Genomic DNA, 18251 nt, shown 5'->3' on the forward strand with positions numbered 1-18251 from the left:
ATAAAAATGTTCTAATAAATTTATGAAGTCATTGTTCTGTTTTTAAATTTATGTATAACTCACCCTGTTATATATTGTAAGTGTAACAATATATTGTCAATCAAAGCATGTAGCTTATTAACACTATGATTAAAAACCTTAAAATCTTGGGCATGTATATGCAAGATTTTGTTCCTTTTTAATTTTCTATTGAAAATTTCCTTTTGTGAATTTACCTTTGGTTTTGTCAACTGACCCACATTTTAAGTTTTCAGATTTGATATATTTGAGATTTTAATAGCAAAATCAATTTTTTACACACATCCTACTTTCTCTATGTTCAGACCAGTTTCTATCTATAGTTCCAGGTCACTGGAGGTAGGGGCAGGTTTCTCTTTTCAGTATTCCTAATCTTACAGAAAACAGCTTTTCTCCCAAGCCCTTTTGTCACTCCTCCCTTGGACAAGGGAAGACTGATGTGATGGGTCAGATTCAGGAGCACTATCAGCAGTACCACCTTCCAATGTGACACCCATGCGTGTAGGACATGGCCATGCTCTTCCCTCTCACAATACCAAAGTGATAAGCTGAGCCAGTGCCTACTATGAAGGCTGGGCTCTGCCACATTACTCCCTATTCCTTTCTTCTTACTGGAGATTTGGGACTCTGTTTTCCACACACTAGGGGTCAACTGGTTATAAGATGCAGAGTTAGAGAGTTGGAGAGACCCTGCTTCCTTCTTGAGTCTGGGCCTGTGCTTCAACCCAGCTTGGCCTGAGATCTCTGCATTGAGGGTCATGGGAATTGGCCCCGTGAATTATATTCAGGGTCCTTGTGTGCGTGTCTCCTTCAGAGAAAACCCTGGGAAGAGACAGAGCAGCAGTGTAGGGTAAAAGTGGGGCATTTTTGTGTCCTCTGGACAAATACTAGCCCCACACTGTCAGATTCTCACCAGTATATACATTTGGATGTCTCTCACTCCATTATAGATGGTATAGATGGTGACCCGAATGTCACAACTCACATTGAAGCATCACATGAAACCATTCCCTAATCATGCTACCATCTAGAGGTCAGTACTTGGTGTTTTCAGGCATGGTTGGTGGATTCCATGCATGAAGGGATAAGGTAAATATCTGTTGATGTGAAGATGGTCAAGGCCTCCTGAATTCCAGTGGTTCCCCCACCCTTGTCTCTTTCCTCAGGGGCTCATGCATCAACCTCAGATAACAGGAAGCCAGTATTCTGGTTTTTAAATTGATCTCACAAAAACAGGTTGTCTTCATTTGGGCCTCATTTAAGCCCTCAGAACTTTGAACTTGACATTTATATGATCCAAATTGCAAATACATCCCATGGCTGACTCACTCACTGGCTTCTGTTGGAATTGGCCACTTACGGTCCTCTTCAGTAATTACTTCCCCATATCTAAATAATCATCATCTTTCCTTGCATACAATGTTATTTTATGTACTTCATTCACATTTTACAATTGCCTTCACATAGAAAACATATATCACTCACTTTTAAGACATGCCTTCCAGCTATCACTAAGTCTTGTATTTCAAATTTTCTCCTTACTTAGAGGTAGCCCAGATGTCCTGCATTATCACTACCACTTACCAATATAGATAGATGATTAATTGATAGATAGATAGAGATAGGTATGTAAGTAGGTAGATAGATAGATTAGATAAATAGATAATTTTTTCCTTGTCACAAAATCTCATGCAGGTCAATGTCAACTGTGAATAGAGTCAAAATAGGATGAGATAAGCTTCTCTTTGGTGATCAGTTTCCAAATATGCTTCCACATGAACAGGTGGTGTCTTCTCTACAGTCTCTATAATCCATCCTAAGCTGCCTGTTCTATAACAGTTTGTTCACTACTGGAAAATCAGTTCTCTGTTCCCATAGGCTCTGTTCATGCCCACATTCATCTGCCATCCCAAAATAAAATCACTACTGAGATCACACTCATATCACATGGTGCCATCACTCAAATTGAACCCTAGAGAAATGGTAATGCACTAAGTATTCCCTAAAACATGCTCAGAAAATGAGAATGAAAGACCTCACGACAAACTTAAGATAGATGTGGTAAAATGGTTTCTGGATGGGATGCATTTTTCTATTTAAGTTCATCTGAGCACTACAAGAAAGACTTGGCTAAAAGACTCAGTATCGGACTGTGTTAACAATACTGACTCACGGTGAATTATAACACAACATATAACTTGAGAAACATTCACAACATATTGCAGCTTATTTTATTAACACACACCTTGGTGTTTAATGGTTATAGTTGATAATATTTACCTGTGCCAGGGGACTAATACATTCATGGCTCCTAAATGTAAGGTTACCTATTTAGTAGATTTTTTATCCAACAAATTAAAAATATGAGCATGAGTAATTTTGCTAAAGAGAAAGGATCTGATAACATTCCAGTGTCCCAGATAAAGGCATGAATACTTCATCATGAAATATTCAAAAGATTCCCAAGATAAACATTTTAACAATGACAAATGAAGCAGGTTATGATATTCCCTACCTGAAAGAGGAGGTCTCCATAATTCTTGTCTGTTCCTTACAGAGTGATATTAGGGATTTTCTAAAAACATACTCCCATCAGAATTCTTTCAAACCTCACTTACATGATAAACTTAAAACTTATTGGTATGTGACTTTTTTTAACCAGCTTTATTTTTTAGAACAGTTTCAGGTACACAACGAAACTGAACAGGAAGAACTCTGTATACACACTCACAGCCTCCCTGACTATTAATATCCGCCCCCCCCCCAGAGTAGTACATTTGTTACAACCAATGAATCTACTTTGACACATTATCACCCAAAGTCCATAATTTACATTAGGTTTTACATATGGCGTTGTACATTCTATAGGTTTGGACAAATGTATAAAGACATGTGTCCACCATTATAGTATCATACAGAATAATTTCACTGCTCTAAAAATATGTGTTCTGCCTATTTATCATCCCTTCCTTCTAACTTCTGGCAACCACTGACCTTTTTATAGTCTCCTTCGTTTTGTCTTTTCCAGACTATCAAATATTTAAACTAATACAGTATGTAGTCTTTTCAGATTGACTTCTTTCACTTAGTTATATGCATTTTAAGCTTCCTTCATCATGTCTTTTCATGGCCTGATAGCTCATTTTTGGTACTGAATAGTATTTCATTGTCTGGATGTACCACAGTTTATCTATTCACGTACTGAAACACATCTTTGTTGATTCCAACTTTTGGCAATTATGAATAAAACTGCTATAAACATCCATGTGCAGGTTTTTGCGTGGGCATAAGTTTTCATCTTATTGAGTAAATACCAAGGAGTCTGACTGCTAGATCATACAGTAAGAATATGTTTAATTTTGTAAGAAACTGCCAAACTGCCTTACAAGGCTATACCAACAACAATGAATGAGAGTTCCCATTACTCCACATCCTTGTCAGCATTTGGTGTTAATGTTCTGGATTTTGGTGGTTCTAATAAGTATATAATGACGTCTCATTGTTGTTTTAAGTTTTATTTTCCTGATGACATACGATGTTGAGCAGTTTTTCATATGCTCATTTGCCATCTATGTATCTTCTTTGGTGAGGTGTCTGCCAAAGTCTTTCGCCCATTTTTTAATAGAGTTGTCTTTTTTCTGAATGTTTAGTTTTAAGAGTTATTCATTCTTAGCAAACTATCGCAAGGACAAAAAACCAAACACCGCATGTTCTTACTCATAGGTGGGAATTGAACAATGAGAACACATGGACACAGGAAGGGGAACATCACACACCCCGGGCCTGTTGTGGGGTGGGAGCAGGGGGGAGGGATAGCATTAGGAGATATACCTAATGTTAAATGACAAGTTAATGGGTGCAGCATACCAACATGGCACATGTATACATATGTAACTAACCTGCACGTTGTGCACATGTACCCTAAAACTTAAAGTATAATTTAAAAAAAAGAAAAAAAAAGAACTACAAAAAAAGAGTTATTCATATATTTTGGATAACGTTACTTTATCAGATGTGTCTTTTGCTAATACTTTCTTCCAGTCTGTGGCTTATCTTTTCATTCTACTAAAAGTGTCTTTCACAGAGCAGAAATTTTAAATTTTAATGAAGTCCAGCTTACCCATACTTTTTAAATAGAATGTACCTTTGGCATTATATCTAAAAAGTCATCACCAAACCCAAGGTTATCTAGATTTTCTTCGATGTTATTTTCTAGTAGTTTCATAATTTTGCATTTTACATTTAGGTTGGTGATTCACTTTGAGTTAATTTTTGTGGAGGGTGTAGGTTCTGTATATAGATTCATTTTTTACATGTGGATGTCCAGTTGTTTCAATATCGTTTGCTGAAAACACTACCTTACTCCATTGTATTGCCTTTGCTCCTTTGTCAAAGCTCAATTGAATATACTTGTATTGGAACTACTGCTGGGCTCTCTATTCTATTCCATCGACCTAAGTGTCTGTTCTCTTACCAATACCACACTGTCCTGATTACTGCAGCTTTATAGTAAGTCTTAAAGTTGGGCAGTCTTCCAACATTTTTTTTCTCAGCAGAAACTTCAGAATTAATTTGTAAATTTCCATGGAAATCCAGCAAAATCGCCCTGTTGGGATTTTGATTGGAATTGCACTGAATCTATAGATTAAGGTGAAAAGAATTGGCATCTTGACAATATTGTCTTCCTACCCATGAATATGGAATCTCTCTACATTTATTTAGTTCTTTGATTTCTTTCATCTGAGACTTGTACATTTCCTCATATAAATCTTTTACATATTTTGCTAGATCTATATGTAAGCATTTCATTTTTCTGGATACTAATGTAAATTATATTGTGCTCTTATTTTCAAATTCCACTTGTTCACTGCTGATATATATGACAGTGATTGATTTTTCTTGTATCTTGCAACTTGCTATAATTGCTTAGCTGTCCCAGAAGTTTTTCTGTCAGTTCTTTTAAATTTTTTACAGAGACAGTCACGTCATCTGTGAACAAAAAGTTTTTATTTTTCTCTCCTGTTATGCAAACCTTTTATTCCTTTTCCTTGTCATATTACATTAGCTAGGACTTCCAGTATGATGTTGAAAAGCAGTGATGAGGGGGAACTATTTGCCTTAATCCTGATCTAGTGGGAAAACTTGTAGTTTCTCACCACTCAGTATAATGTTAGCTGCAGGTTTTTGTGAATGTTCTTTACCAAGTTGAGTAAATTCCTCTCTATTCCTAGTTTACTGAGAGTTTTTTTTTTATCATAAATGGGTGTTGGACATTGTTAAATGCTTTTTCTTTGTCTATTGATATGATTATGTGGTTTTTCTTTTTTAGCCTGTTGATGTGATGAATTACATTAATTGATTTTTGAACGTTGAATCAGTCTCGCATACCTGGGATGAATCTCACTTGGTCATGATGTATAATGCTTTTGATACATTGTAGGATTTAATTTGAAAAATTTCAGAATTTTTGCATCTATGTTTATGAGACATATTGGTCTATAATTTTCTGTCATGTCTTTGTCTGGCTTTGGTATTAGGTTTATGATGGCCTCATAGAATGAATTATCAAGTATTCCCTGTGCTTTTATTTTCTAAAAGATACTCTAAATAATTGGTAAAATTTCTTCAATGTTTGGCAGAATTCACTGCTGAACTCAATTTGACCTAATGCTTTAGTTTTAGAAGGTTGTTATTGATTCAATTTCTAAAATAGATATGGGCCTATTCAGATTGTCTATTTCTTCTGTAAGTTTTGGCAAATTGTATCTTTCAAGGAATTGGTCCATTTTCTCTAGATTATCAAATTTGTGGGCATGGAGTTGTTCATAGTATTTCTTTATTATTCTTCTAAGGTCCATGGCATCTATAGCAATGTCCCCTCTTTCATTTCTGATTTTAGTAATTTGTTTCCTCTCTTTTTTTTTCTTAGCCTAGCTGGAGTCTTGTCAGTTTTATTGATCTTTTCAAAGAACCAGCTTTTGGCTTCATGGATTTTCTCCACTGATTTTCTATTTTCACTTTCATTGATTTCTGCATTACTTTTTATTTTTTTAATGCTCACTTTGGATTTAATTTACTCTTCTTTTTCTAGTTTCCTACAGTGAAAGCCTATAGATTTTAGATCTTTCTTCTTTTCTAATACATGCATTCAATACTACAAATTTCCCCTGAGCACTGCTTTCACTGCATCCCACAAATTTTAATACACTGTATTTTCATTTAAAATATTTTTAAATTTCTTTGATGCTTCTTCATTGATACATGTGTTATTCGGAATTATGTTATTTATTCTCCAAGTACTTGAAGATTTTCCAGCTTTTTTGTTACTAATTTCTAATTTAATTCCATTTGGTCTAAGAGCATACTTGTATGATTTCTATTCTTTTATATTTGTTGAGGTATGTTTTATGGTCCATAATGGAGTCTAGCTTGGTGAATGTTTCATAAAAATTTGAGAAGGTATATTCTGCTAATGTTGCATTAAGTAGTCTATAGATATCCACCATACCAGGTGATTTATGGTGTTATCGACTTCAACTACATACTTATTGGTTTTCTGCCTGCTGAATGTGTCAGTTGTGATACAGAGATGTTGATGTCTGTTACTATAATGGTGGATTCATCCATTTTTCCTTGCAATTCTATCAGTTTTCACCTCACATATGTTGATGCTCTCTTGTTAGGCACATACATGTTAATGATTGTTACGTCCTCTGGAAAAATTGACCCTTCATCATTTGGAATACCCCTTTTATTCCTGATAACTTTCCTTGCACTGAAGTCTACTCTCTGAAATTAATACAGCTATTCTTTTCTTTTGATTGGTGTTAGCATGGCATATAATTCTCCATCTATTTAATCTGTATGTGTCATCATATTCATTGTGCATTTCTTGAGACAATATATATTTGGGTCTTGTTTTTTGATCCACTTTGTCAATCTCTGTCTTTTAATTGGTGCATTTCGAAGGCTGATGTTCACAGGGATTATTTATATAGTTGAATTAACAGCTACCATATTTGCTACTGTTTTCTATTCATTGCCCTTGTTCTTTGTTCTGATTTTTGTCTTCCACTCTTTTTCTACCTTTCGTGGCTTTGAGCATTTTATATGATTTTATTTTCTCTCCTTTCCTAATATATCAGTTATACCTCTTTTTTGTAACTGTTTTTACTGGTTGCCAGAGAGTTTGCAATATGTACTTACAACTAATCTAAGTCCACTTTCAAATAACACTATACTGCTTCATGGGTAGTCTGAATACCTTGTAATAATAAAATATTCTAATTATTTCCTCTGGTCCCTTCTATAATAGCTATCACTCATTTCAGTTATACATAAGCACACATAAGCATATGTGCTTACACATAAGCATACATAACTGGATATACTGTTGCTATTATTATTTTGAACAAACTGTTATCTGTTCGACCAATTAATAAGGAAAATAAAGTTATTTTACCTTCACTATTTCTTCTCTGATGCTTTTCCCTTCTTTATATGTATCTTAGTTTGCAAACCTGAGAGAAATATGAGGGAACTTCAGTGATGCCTTGAAGCATCATAGTCCAAGCGTATTGTTTATTCTATGTGAAAAAAAGACAGTGGGAGTAAGGAAAAGGGGATACTAAAAAAGGCTAAAGAGAGACCTACTACTATGTTCAATTTGGAGGCAGAAAAGCTAGGATAATATTTGTGTTGGGGACCAAGGGAAATGTGTACATTATGTAATTTATATCCCTTAAATCTTTATTCATAGAGTTATTCACATTCATTTGGACTTCTTATCTGGAGATGGGGTGCTGCAGAGACTAGTACAAGGAATGAGTAAGCCCTTAGCTATGAAATCTGCAACAATGGGCTGTATTCCCTCCAACACTTACAGTTTTAGGAGATACTGGGACAATTTAGGCAGAAGCATTATGGTGTCAGTATTGACTTGTATGGCTTTAATATTACTTATTTACCCCATGTCTGCAGATGATGTGGACCAGAAAATATGGGGTACTGAAAAAAACAAATCAGAAAATTAAGGTTATTCTAGGGATAAGAGAGTTGGAAACAGTGCAGGATAGAAAAGGGAAGCCACCATAAGATGGTACATTGGGTCATCCCATTCAGGGAGATCAAGAAAAAATCTTTCAGATATGCACCTAATCATGACTCCTCATTGAGCCAAAACATCCTATCCTGATAGGTTGGACTGGGTGGAAAGACTGAGGAGAAAGGCAAGTTAAGATGTGAAGTTACCTAAAGAGGTGGGCAAAGGGGTAAAGAGAAAGAATATATTCAACTGGTAAGTCACACCACTGAAATCTCTTTATTACTTCAAGGTAAGTTGGAAAGAAATTGGGAGGAACTATTGGTGAAGACTGTGGCTCCAATGTCTATAAAAAAGTAGATGACCGTGATGGTTAATTTTATGTCAACTTAGCTAGGCCATAGAAACACTACTTTAGATGCTTCTATAATGATATTTTTAAAATGAGATTACAATAGACTGAATAAAGCAGATTACCTTGCATAATGTAGGTGGTGTGTTTCATCCAATCAGATGAAGATCTTAATAGAAAAAAGACTGATGTTACCCAAGGAAGAGGGAATTCTGCCAGGAGATAGCTTTCAGACACAAGCTGCAAGGTCAACCCTTGGGTCTCCAGGCTGCTGGCCTACCTGCAATTTTGGACTTGACAGCCTCACAATCATGTATCAGTTCCTTAAAATACACACACACACACACACACACACACACACACACACTTGTTCTGGTTCTCTGGAGAACCGTGATTAATACAATGGCCATTTACTAACAGAGTTCTTTCTCTTTGCTAAATCAAAAGCAATTGGAGACACTAAGGACAGATTCCTTGGGAATCATATTGTTTCCAATCGAGCAGCTTTTTGGGCTGCTTGTGTCCTGGTCAAAGCAATAAAATTGTAGGCATAGTAACATCCTCCTCCCAATATATGCAAGTATTCTTGCCTATCTGTTTTGTATTTGTGGAGGGTCTTTTGTTTCCCTCAAGTTAAGCTGTAGTGTTGCAAGTTTTTGCATGTAGTTTTATCTTTGTTTTTCAGGGTATCCTCAAAATGCTGGACTAATTGTTGTAACTCATGAATGGGTATTGTCTGCCAGCCTATTTTCTGCTTCTGAACAGCAGCTGATATTTCAGGCTTAGGGCTATTAACAAAAAAGGTGGTAATTTCAATGCTGATGTTAGCATTAATTCCCAACCCTGAGCATTCTTTAAAGTGATTTACAATAAAGATTCATTCCATCTCTGTCAATAGGGTTAGACTGTTCCCCAGTAACTGTGAGAGGGATAAACTTCAATATACCATTTAAAAGACCTTCTTGTATCTATAGGGCATCAAGGTTAGCCTAAATCCTCATTTATGGTAACCCATTTGGCCTTGTCACACCAGGTTCTAGCACCTCCAGGTTCTACTAAAAGGTGTGTTAACTAATGTAAATCTGGAAGCCATTTCAGTCAGCCTCTTAGTCAGTAGGAAATCCTCTCAGATTTTGCCAAGTAGTTGGCAGCCAACCGTAACTTAGGAAACTGAAATCACAAAGAATGGGGATAAAAATAAGTAACAGGACAGGTGGTTAGGGAGCCTTTTCAGCCTTCTATTAAGAATAGAGTGAAGTTACACAAAAAAAGATTGAGAAGACTACATAAAAGTAAAATTATCTATGCCTCTGAAAACTACACATTTAGGAAGCAAAAACCAGGAAAAGTATTTGCAATGTATGTGACAGAATGGAAGATCAGTATCTTGACATATAACTTACAATCATTAAGATAATTATCTTTAAAACATTGATAAATACTGGTTAGGGTATAAAAAAAACAAGAATTCTCACATAATGTCAGTGGCAATATAAATGGGTATTGTGTTTCTTGCAATGCACCAAGAGAGTTAAAAGCGATCATGCCTTTCAAACCAGTAAATCTATTTTTGGAAATCTATTATAAATAATCAGAGATGGTAAAAAATATATGTGTGCAAAAGTATTCTTTTCATTTAATGAAGGGATAAACTTTAAGAAATCTATCAATGTGCTTTCCTCCTACACATTTCCTTGACTGAATGGCCCTAAAAACTAGTAGTATGAATTTTCTACTAGAAGGCAGAAATGGGAAATTGAAGGAAAGGTGTCAGCTCTATGTAAATCTGAAGAGTACATTTTATCAAACTCGGTCTCATGGATTGCAAATCCTAATACACACATTGTTGTGAATACTGGAGATAACAACAACAATAATTATATGTCTACAATTGCCAGGAACTAAGAACCTGTTGTGCTATTTATGGTGACCACCATCCTCCATGAAGCACGTGCTATTATAACCTTCATTTTGCTCACGTGGAAACTGTGATACAGGAAGAAGCAGTAAATTGCCAAGGTTCTTGGGGTTCCTCAAAGAGGGCACTGGCGTTCAGATCACCGGTCTATCATACACAAGATTATACGCTGGTTTACAGAACGTTTTCCTGCCTCCAGTGCAAGAATGAAATAAAAGACAAACTGGGTAGAGTGTAAAACAGCCAGCAAAACTTTTTTCAAAATGGTAATAATTTAATGCTCACAATAAAGTGCTAAGTGGAAGGGTGAGGGGGAAGCCACGTTGTTTCATCCAGTATCATCCAAACATTATTTAAAAATACACCGTATTTACAAAGATAAACATCTGGAAGAAATAAGGTACTTGTTCATGTATTCAAAACTGTATGTTAAGAACACTCCTCTACACTCTTGTCAGTTTGCCGAAAAGGCAATGGTGAGCAAAAACAAAGCAGAACAATCACAGTTTCTGTTCTTAGAAAGGTTACATGATCACATTTACCAATGAGATAGGGGGTCAGGGGTTATTTTTGCTTTCCATTTCAGTTATTAAGTATTTTTTCGACGCTTCTAGACTGTGTATTGTTTTAGAATGGGAAATGAATAAAAATTTTCAAGCATTTTTCAAATGATTTTTAGGACACGGTAACTCACACTGAAAATCTGAGTTTAAAAAAGATGAACTAACGATGGAATATGAACTCGTGTTTAAAATGCACCTTTGGGAATGAAAAACTCTAAGGAAACAACAAATATTATCAGTGGTCATTGCTGGGTGATGGGACTGAGGGTAAGACTGGCTTTCTTTATTACACTGTATTTGTCCTCCAAATTTTCTACAGTGAGGTTGAGTCACTTCCATAATAAAAGAGTGCGTGCATTTATCAATATAAAACCAGGTCCACAAAGCCCAGTACAACCTGGGGACAGTGAATGACAAGACCATTGAGAGAAGTCAAAATACAAGTTACTAAGGAACCTAGGCATCATCTCAAGAGGAATGCCAATTTCAAAAGCAAAAAGATTTTGTTCATCAGCTCTGAGTTTTCTTAAGAGACACTACCCGCTCCGCTTCACCCCCTAAAAAACAGGCAGCCCCAGCAGCAGGACTTGGCAGGTTTAAGAACCAACCTCTTCTCTCAAAAAAGATTCCGCGGCATTTTTTTCAAGCAAGAAGGGCGGGGGGAGAGGCGAGTTGGGCGTATCCATGGAGCAATATTGCCACCTGCAGGCCACAAGAATGAAGCGCCACCAACCGCGGAAGAAAATTCATCCTTTCTACTGCTTCTCGGCAAAGAGCCGGTAGAGCTAACCTGAGGAAGCTACGCAGAATGAAGATGAGGACCAGAGAATAGACTAGTACCGGTCAGACAGGCCCCGACGAACCGGCCGTACAAGGCAGCCTCCCATAGTCCCGCCCTCGGAACCATAGCAACCCAGCAGGAAGTTCCTGCGCCACCGGAAAAAGCAGCTCTCGGGGCGGGGCTGGCCTAGGATTGACGGGCTCTGGGCCTGCGCATCGGAGTCCGGGGAGGTAGGCGCTAGTCTCCTCAGGGTCAGCCGCAGGACTCCTTCCCTGCTATTGAGAGTTGATGGCTCAGGCTCGCGACCGCTGAAGGCCAGGCTCTACTGCATGGCTGCACCAGCCGCCTCACGTTCGAGACCTGTGCCAATCCCATGGACACTCTCCCAGCCAGCCCCTGGACACGCTTCTCATGTGACGCACGCCCTGTCCTCCTCTCAGCCCTCACAGCACGGATCCTCCCCGGCGACCTCAGCGCCCCCGGGGCTGACCAGGCCGCGGCCGGCTCTCCTCCGTCTTGAGGGGGCCTCCTCCTCCCCACCTAAGTCTCCTCCGCGCGCGGTAATGCTCTGGGCCTCAGGAAAGACCGCGCCCCTTCACGATGTCTATTTCTTGCATCCCGCACTCTCATCATGGGCAGCACCCCATCCAGTCCTAACAGCTCCCTCTCTCCAATGTCCCAGCATCCACAGCCTTCAGCCTCAAGGAGGCCTGTCCACTGACCCCAACCGCGTTCCTCACCATTCACCTTCCTTACCCAGCTTACTCAAAGCTATTAACTCTCGCTCCTCAAACGCATCTCTTCATTTTCCTTCCTCCCTACTCGCCTGGCAACCCCCTGCCTTCCCCCGCCCCCCTGTAACCAAGTAGACAAACAATGTGCACCCTCCACAAGTGTACCTTCTCTCTCCTCTCCCTACAATAGCCCCCACAAGGACTAGCACCAACTCTTCTCATGATATTCCTTGATATTCCCCTGAAAAAACAGGAGCGATTGGAGAGAAACTCTCACCACTTCCCAACAGCAGTGGGCCTGCACTTGTAATCTCAGCTGCCCCACTGGAGGAAGTGACAGGATCCTACTTGAGGCCGGGCCTTCACCTGAATCCCATGCCCTCTACCTTCTCAAGGTAGAGACTTTTGTAGTGATTATCCCTTATTCCTGAATTGTCACATTCTTTCTTTATTCTGGATTCTTCTGTCATCTATAAACATGCTCTTGTTTCTGACATTTTATACAAAATGTAATAAAACAGAAATCAGTTCCTTATCCCATATTTCTCCAAGGTAATGACACATTTCCCTGATGCTCCAAGCAGCAAATCTGTCTTCCCTTGTTCTATAATCATTATCATTACAAACCTCTTCAATGCAGCTTCTACCTGCTCACCTCTCAACAGAAAAATGCTTTTGTTAAAGGCACCGATGGCCTTCATATTGCCTAACACTATGATCACGTCCTCATCCTTTTACACTATATGTCCAGATGCCTTCAGTACATCTGACACCTCCCTCCTTCTCAAAGCTACTCTCCTCCCTCCTTCTTTATTTCCCTCCCTGTCTTCTCTCCTCTTTGCCCTGCCTTGTTTTTCTTCTTAATCATAAAATTATTTTATTGATATTTTAAGTGGCATAAATACAATAAATTTGAGGGAGAATGAGGAAGATGTTAGCTAATGAATAGGTCATGTAGGCCTCCACAAAGCTTCAGGACTAATACAGACATGAACAGACACCTGAGCTTGCCCTTGTAACTCCGCGAACACACCACAAGCTTCAGGATAGTTTGTCTCTGATGCTCAAGTAGTCTCAGGAGTTACCAGACAATGGTGGGGAGAGATAGCTTAGAAGTGACGCTCTCTGTACACACATATAAAAACCGCTGATGCAGCACCTTGTAGGCCCCTTTTAAAGCGTGATGATTCCTGTGATGGTTAATACTGAGTGTCAACTTGACTGCATTGAAGGATGCAAAGTATTGATCCTGGGTGTGTCTGTGAGGGTGTTGCCAAAGGAGATTAACATATGAGTTAGTGGGCTGGGAAAGGCAAACCCACCCTTAATCTGGGTGGGCACCATCTAATCAGCAGCCAGTGCGGCCAGAATGTAAGGCAGGCAGAAAAACGTGAAGAGACTAGGCTGGCTCAGCCTCGCAGCCTACATCTTTCTCTCATACTGGATGCTTCCTGCCCTCGAACATCAGACTCCAAGATCTTCAGCTTTGGACCCAGACTGGCTTCCTTGCTCCTCAGCTTACAGATGGCCTATTGTGGGACCTTGTGATCGTGTGAGTTAATACTACTTAATAAACTCCCATATAGATATATATATATTACTTTTGTCCCTCTAGAGAACCCTGACTAATACAACTCCCTTTGAACTCCAAGTTTATTTTTACAGAGAGCTTGTCCTGCTACTGACAGTGTATTGACTTGTATTTGGTAATCCCTTCCATTTTGTGTTTCTTTATCTGTTAGTCAATCTCCTTCAAACATTCCAAATAAATTTGAATTCTACAAGAGAAAGTACAAATCCTAAAGCCTTCCCTTTATGATCTGGATTTAATATGGGAATCCTTATGTCAACATGAAAGATAAGGAAAACAAAAGAATGTTCTGTTCCAGTCATGGGGGAGTAGAAGGCATGGAGACAGTGTCTCATCCCAGTCTCTCTTCTAAGGGCCTTATCTTACATGTGACAGGTGTGTCAGAGAAGTGGAAGGGAGTTCCAAATAAAGAGATTTTTGCCCAACTGAAATTTAGGACTCAGAAGTTTACTTTTGCAGGATGAAATAGTGAGCTCCTTGGTTAGAATAATGGCTGGAGTTCAGGAATTTCTATTTTTGGAGCTGATCTTGGTTCCTGCAGGGAGCTAACATTCTCTGAGAGGGGGACTGTGGAAGTGGCTGATTCAAGAGCCAGGGGTGCTACCATGAAACAAGCATAAGCCAGATAGGGGCTAGGTGACCCTGCAGCTGAGGCTGTGGTGTGGACAGCCCTGCCCAGATGTGGGAGGGAGATGAGGCCCAGATTCAGAGGGGTCTGCTGATGCCAGCACGGGTGGGCCAAGGCCGAGTCAGCCTGGGAGCACCAGATTCCCTCACAAGCCACCGAGAACACTGCAATCAACATAAGATGTCACCGACCCCTTCCCATTATCACCATGAAGACTGGAAAGCCATACGCACCATTAATCATCTTGGAAAGGAGTAGGGAGGTGGGGCAGAAAACTGGGAGACTGATCATTTTCAGCAAAACAGGGTGAGCATTTATACAAATGGACCATTCACATGATAGCATCAGCTGACACCAGATTAAACATAACTCCAGTATTTTCTCACCTTCTTGTCCAGTACAGAGGTTATACATTCATAATGAAGATCAGATCAGTCTTAGCAAGTAAATGCATCAAAGCCCCCAATCAGGTCTGAGAAGCACGAATTAATTTGTGGTCTCTGCACACCATCTCTTCCAGCTCCCCCTCTGCCCACTGTCTTATCAGTCCGTGGAAGAGGGCATTGAGACATCCTTGCCTCCTCTTCTCCTTTAACCGAGGACAATTTTAACCTGTTATAAATTGACCCTGACAACAGAGCACAGAAAGAGGAGAGGACCAGAAGAGAGACACACAGAGTGGAGTAACAGATGAGAGTTATTGCTGAGGTGAGCAGGGCCTCCTCAAGGCTTACAGCTGCCCTCCACAAGTGATACCAGGCTCCACTGCCCTTTATGAACACAGAAATTCTTTCTCAGGGTCTATGCCCTGGAGCTTAGAGTCAGAAAATATTCGTAGCTCTGTGTACTGCTGGAGAAAATCACAGAACCACATGTTAGAACCACTGCATTTTCATAGTCATCATTGTCTCCTGGGATCTCAGTGCCCAGCAGCAGGCTTTCTTGGTGACTCTTGTCCCCCCTCCAGTCCCTTCTGAGGGGATCCCAAGATTTCTCCTCTCTCCTGGAACCCTCTACCACACATCTATCCCCTCGCTTTTAGCCATAGCAAATTCCCATTCTCACCTGAGATCCAAGCAGGTAGTGAGAGGGAGGAAGGCCTCAGTGCTGGAAAGGGGTATGGATTCCGTTGTCTTGGCAACATTCTTCTTCACATCGGCACTGGGTCACTCAGCTCAGATCCATGGTTGGTTACCTGGGAAACTGAAGCTTTATCCATCTGACTCCAGAGAATAGCAAACAAAAGAGTGGAAACTAAGAGGATTATCATGGGAGGCCACCCACAGACATGGAATCGTGACTCTCAATAGATGTGTTTGTCACAAGGGTCCTTGCACATGCAGAGACAATGTACATGTGTTTACTCAGTAGCACTCATTGCTCCCTAGAGGAGCACAGTGACTATGGCAAAAGGTACACATTGGGGAGGCAGAGGATGAGGTGGGAATGTAGGCACGTGACAGATCATGAAAAGCATGGAACATATAATATCAACGACAACCTCTTCACTGAACGTAACCAAGATGCTGTCTCACAGTCCCTTGCAGCCATGAGTGAGCACCTCACTGTGAGGGTATGGGCAACTGCTTCTCCATAATGTACAAGGCCCCTCTTCAACGGTTGAATTTGGGGGCTACATTTAGAACTCATAAAGGCAAACTATTCCCAATATGGTAGAAAAACAAGTCCCCAGAGCTCCAACCTTCCAAATCTATTAAGGAAGCCCAACATGTGGTAGGAAACTTTGGATTCTGGCACCATGACATTCCTCACATCCAATATTTGCTGGATGCTATCTATGGAGTCTCCCTTAAGTCTTCTGCTTTCCAGTGGGGACCTGAGCAACAGACACTAGAGAAACTAAAGGAAGCTATTACTTCTCTTCTCTCATCTGCTCCAAAGGCATGACTTACAATGAGAATTTTCTGCCATGCCAAATTTGCTTCCAGGCGCCTCTGGACCAAATGGATAGGCAAACACCTACCCATCAGCTTTTGCTGTAAGTGGCTCCCAGCCTAAGCCCAAAGATATTCACCATGAGCGAGGCACCACCTGGCAGTGTACTGGGCACTTCTTAAAACTAAAGCCCTTACTGGGGTAGAGCCAATTACCCTGTTATGCCCTGCACAGTGGAAGAAGCTCTCCTTAAAACTGAATCTGCAACAGAGACTCCCTTATAAAATGGTCTTCCCAGAATCCAGCTAAAATCAACCCTACTGGAGTGTCACATCCCATGAGCAAATAGCCACATGCCCTGCCCATAAGGCTAACTTGCCAAACCTCAGAAATGGCTTCATCCCTTGCTCAAGGGGAGCCAGAGGGAGGAAGGCCAGCACCCTAAAAACAAGAGAAGCAATGCTTTTTTTCCTCTCCCAAGTATATTACCTAGACAATGGAGATATAATTAGCAAATCCCTGTAGTTATTTTTTATATAATAACCTACGACAGGATATAAACTTAAAACCACATTTATCCTGAGTAGGATCCACTATAGTTACAGGTTTGGTGATTATAGGAAATGTCAAGACATTAGGGAAATTGAATTTTCCTTGCAGGATCCATGAACATCTTCAACCAAAGCAGAAATAGCCTAATCAGAAGAGAGGTGAGGGTTCAGGTCACCAAGTAAGGTTCAGTTGATTTGGGGTTGGAGGAGCTTCAAATCTTCTAAATCTTTGCATAATATAGCCCTGATAATTTAAATGAGGCAGTGCTTCATAAACTTGGTTGAAATAAGAATTTCAATGGAGTCATAGTTTATTTAAAAAGAAAAATTTACCTCCAAGGGGCAGATGAAAGAGTCAGTGTTCCTCTTCTGACTGAAGGAGAAAACTCACAAATGTGAGTTTAATGTACATCTTAAAAGAAAACAGAAGCTGTGATCGGTGGTTCACATGTATAATCTCAACACTTTGGAAAGCAGAGGCAGGAGGATCGCTTTAACTCAGGAGTTCGAGACATGTTGTCTGTCATATGTGGGAGCTAAAAATTTTGATCTAATGGAGTAGAATTTTGGTGACCAGAGGCTGGGAACAGGGGGTGGGTGGGATGAAGCGAAGTTGGTTAATGGGTACATACAATTAAGTAAAAGGAATAACTTCTATTTGATAGCACAGTAGGGTGACTAATGGTAACAATAAATTATCATATATTTCAAAATGGCTAGAAGGGAAGATTTGAAATGTTCCCAGCACAAATAAATGATAAATGTTTGAGGTGATGGATATCCTAAATACCCTGATTTAGTCATTGTCCTTTGTATACATATATCAAAGTGTCACATGTACCCCATAAATATGTACAACAATGTATCAATAAAAAAGAAATAAGTAAACAAAATACAATCTAATTTACATTGGTGTATGTATACACAATGGAATACTATTCAGTCATATAAAAGAATGAAATCCCATCATTTGAGGCAACATGTATGGGCTTCAGATGTGTGAGCCTGGAGGACATTAAGTGAAATAATCCAGACACAGAAAGATAAATACCGAATGTTCTCATTGATATGTGGAAGCTTAAAGCTTTTATTTCATAGAAGTAGAGAGTGGAATCGAGATTAGTAGAGTCTGGGAAGGGTGGGGGATGAACAGGTAGAGTTTAGCTAATGGATACAAA

The 18251-nt window shown here is 39.6% G+C and overlaps 1 long non-coding RNA gene across 1 annotated transcript in view, besides 5 other annotated features; it reads right to left on the minus strand.

Moving 5' to 3' along the window:
* LOC105377209 (uncharacterized) overlaps positions 1–15875 on the minus strand; it is a 70327-nt gene extending 54452 nt beyond the window's left edge. Inside the window, exon 1 of the long non-coding RNA XR_938385.3 lies at positions 15692–15875. This is a non-coding gene — a long non-coding RNA (uncharacterized LOC105377209). The remainder of the gene's footprint in view (positions 1–15691) is intronic.
* Positions 11448–11807: an enhancer, noted in NCBI's record as "active region_29643". NCBI's record gives its function as "activates an Ori minimal core promoter by ATAC-STARR-seq in GM12878 lymphoblastoid cells {active_cell/tissue: GM12878}" and the evidence as "EXISTENCE:reporter gene assay evidence [ECO:0000049][PMID:35858748]".
* Positions 11448–12121: a biological region, named in NCBI's record as "H3K4me1 hESC enhancer GRCh37_chrX:52004803-52005304".
* Positions 11494–11752: a silencer, noted in NCBI's record as "fragment chrX:52004677-52004935 (GRCh37/hg19 assembly coordinates)". NCBI's record gives its function as "represses an EF-1alpha promoter that drives an FKBP-Casp9 reporter gene in an ReSE screen in HepG2 liver carcinoma cells {active_cell/tissue: HepG2}" and the evidence as "EXISTENCE:reporter gene assay evidence [ECO:0000049][PMID:32094911]".
* Positions 11620–12121: an enhancer, noted in NCBI's record as "H3K4me1 hESC enhancer chrX:52004803-52005304 (GRCh37/hg19 assembly coordinates)". NCBI's record gives its function as "activates a minimal SCP1, AML or CMV promoter by ChIP-STARR-seq in naive H9 embryonic stem cells {active_cell/tissue: H9 hESC(naive)}" and the evidence as "EXISTENCE:reporter gene assay evidence [ECO:0000049][PMID:30033119]".
* Positions 12122–12621: an enhancer, noted in NCBI's record as "H3K4me1 hESC enhancer chrX:52005305-52005804 (GRCh37/hg19 assembly coordinates)". NCBI's record gives its function as "activates a minimal SCP1, AML or CMV promoter by ChIP-STARR-seq in naive H9 embryonic stem cells {active_cell/tissue: H9 hESC(naive)}" and the evidence as "EXISTENCE:reporter gene assay evidence [ECO:0000049][PMID:30033119]".
* Positions 15876–18251: the final 2376 nt, after the last annotated feature.

This window comes from Homo sapiens, chromosome X (assembly GCF_000001405.40).
Source record: "Homo sapiens chromosome X, GRCh38.p14 Primary Assembly".
In the NCBI taxonomy this organism is placed as follows: Eukaryota; Metazoa; Chordata; class Mammalia; order Primates; family Hominidae; genus Homo; species Homo sapiens.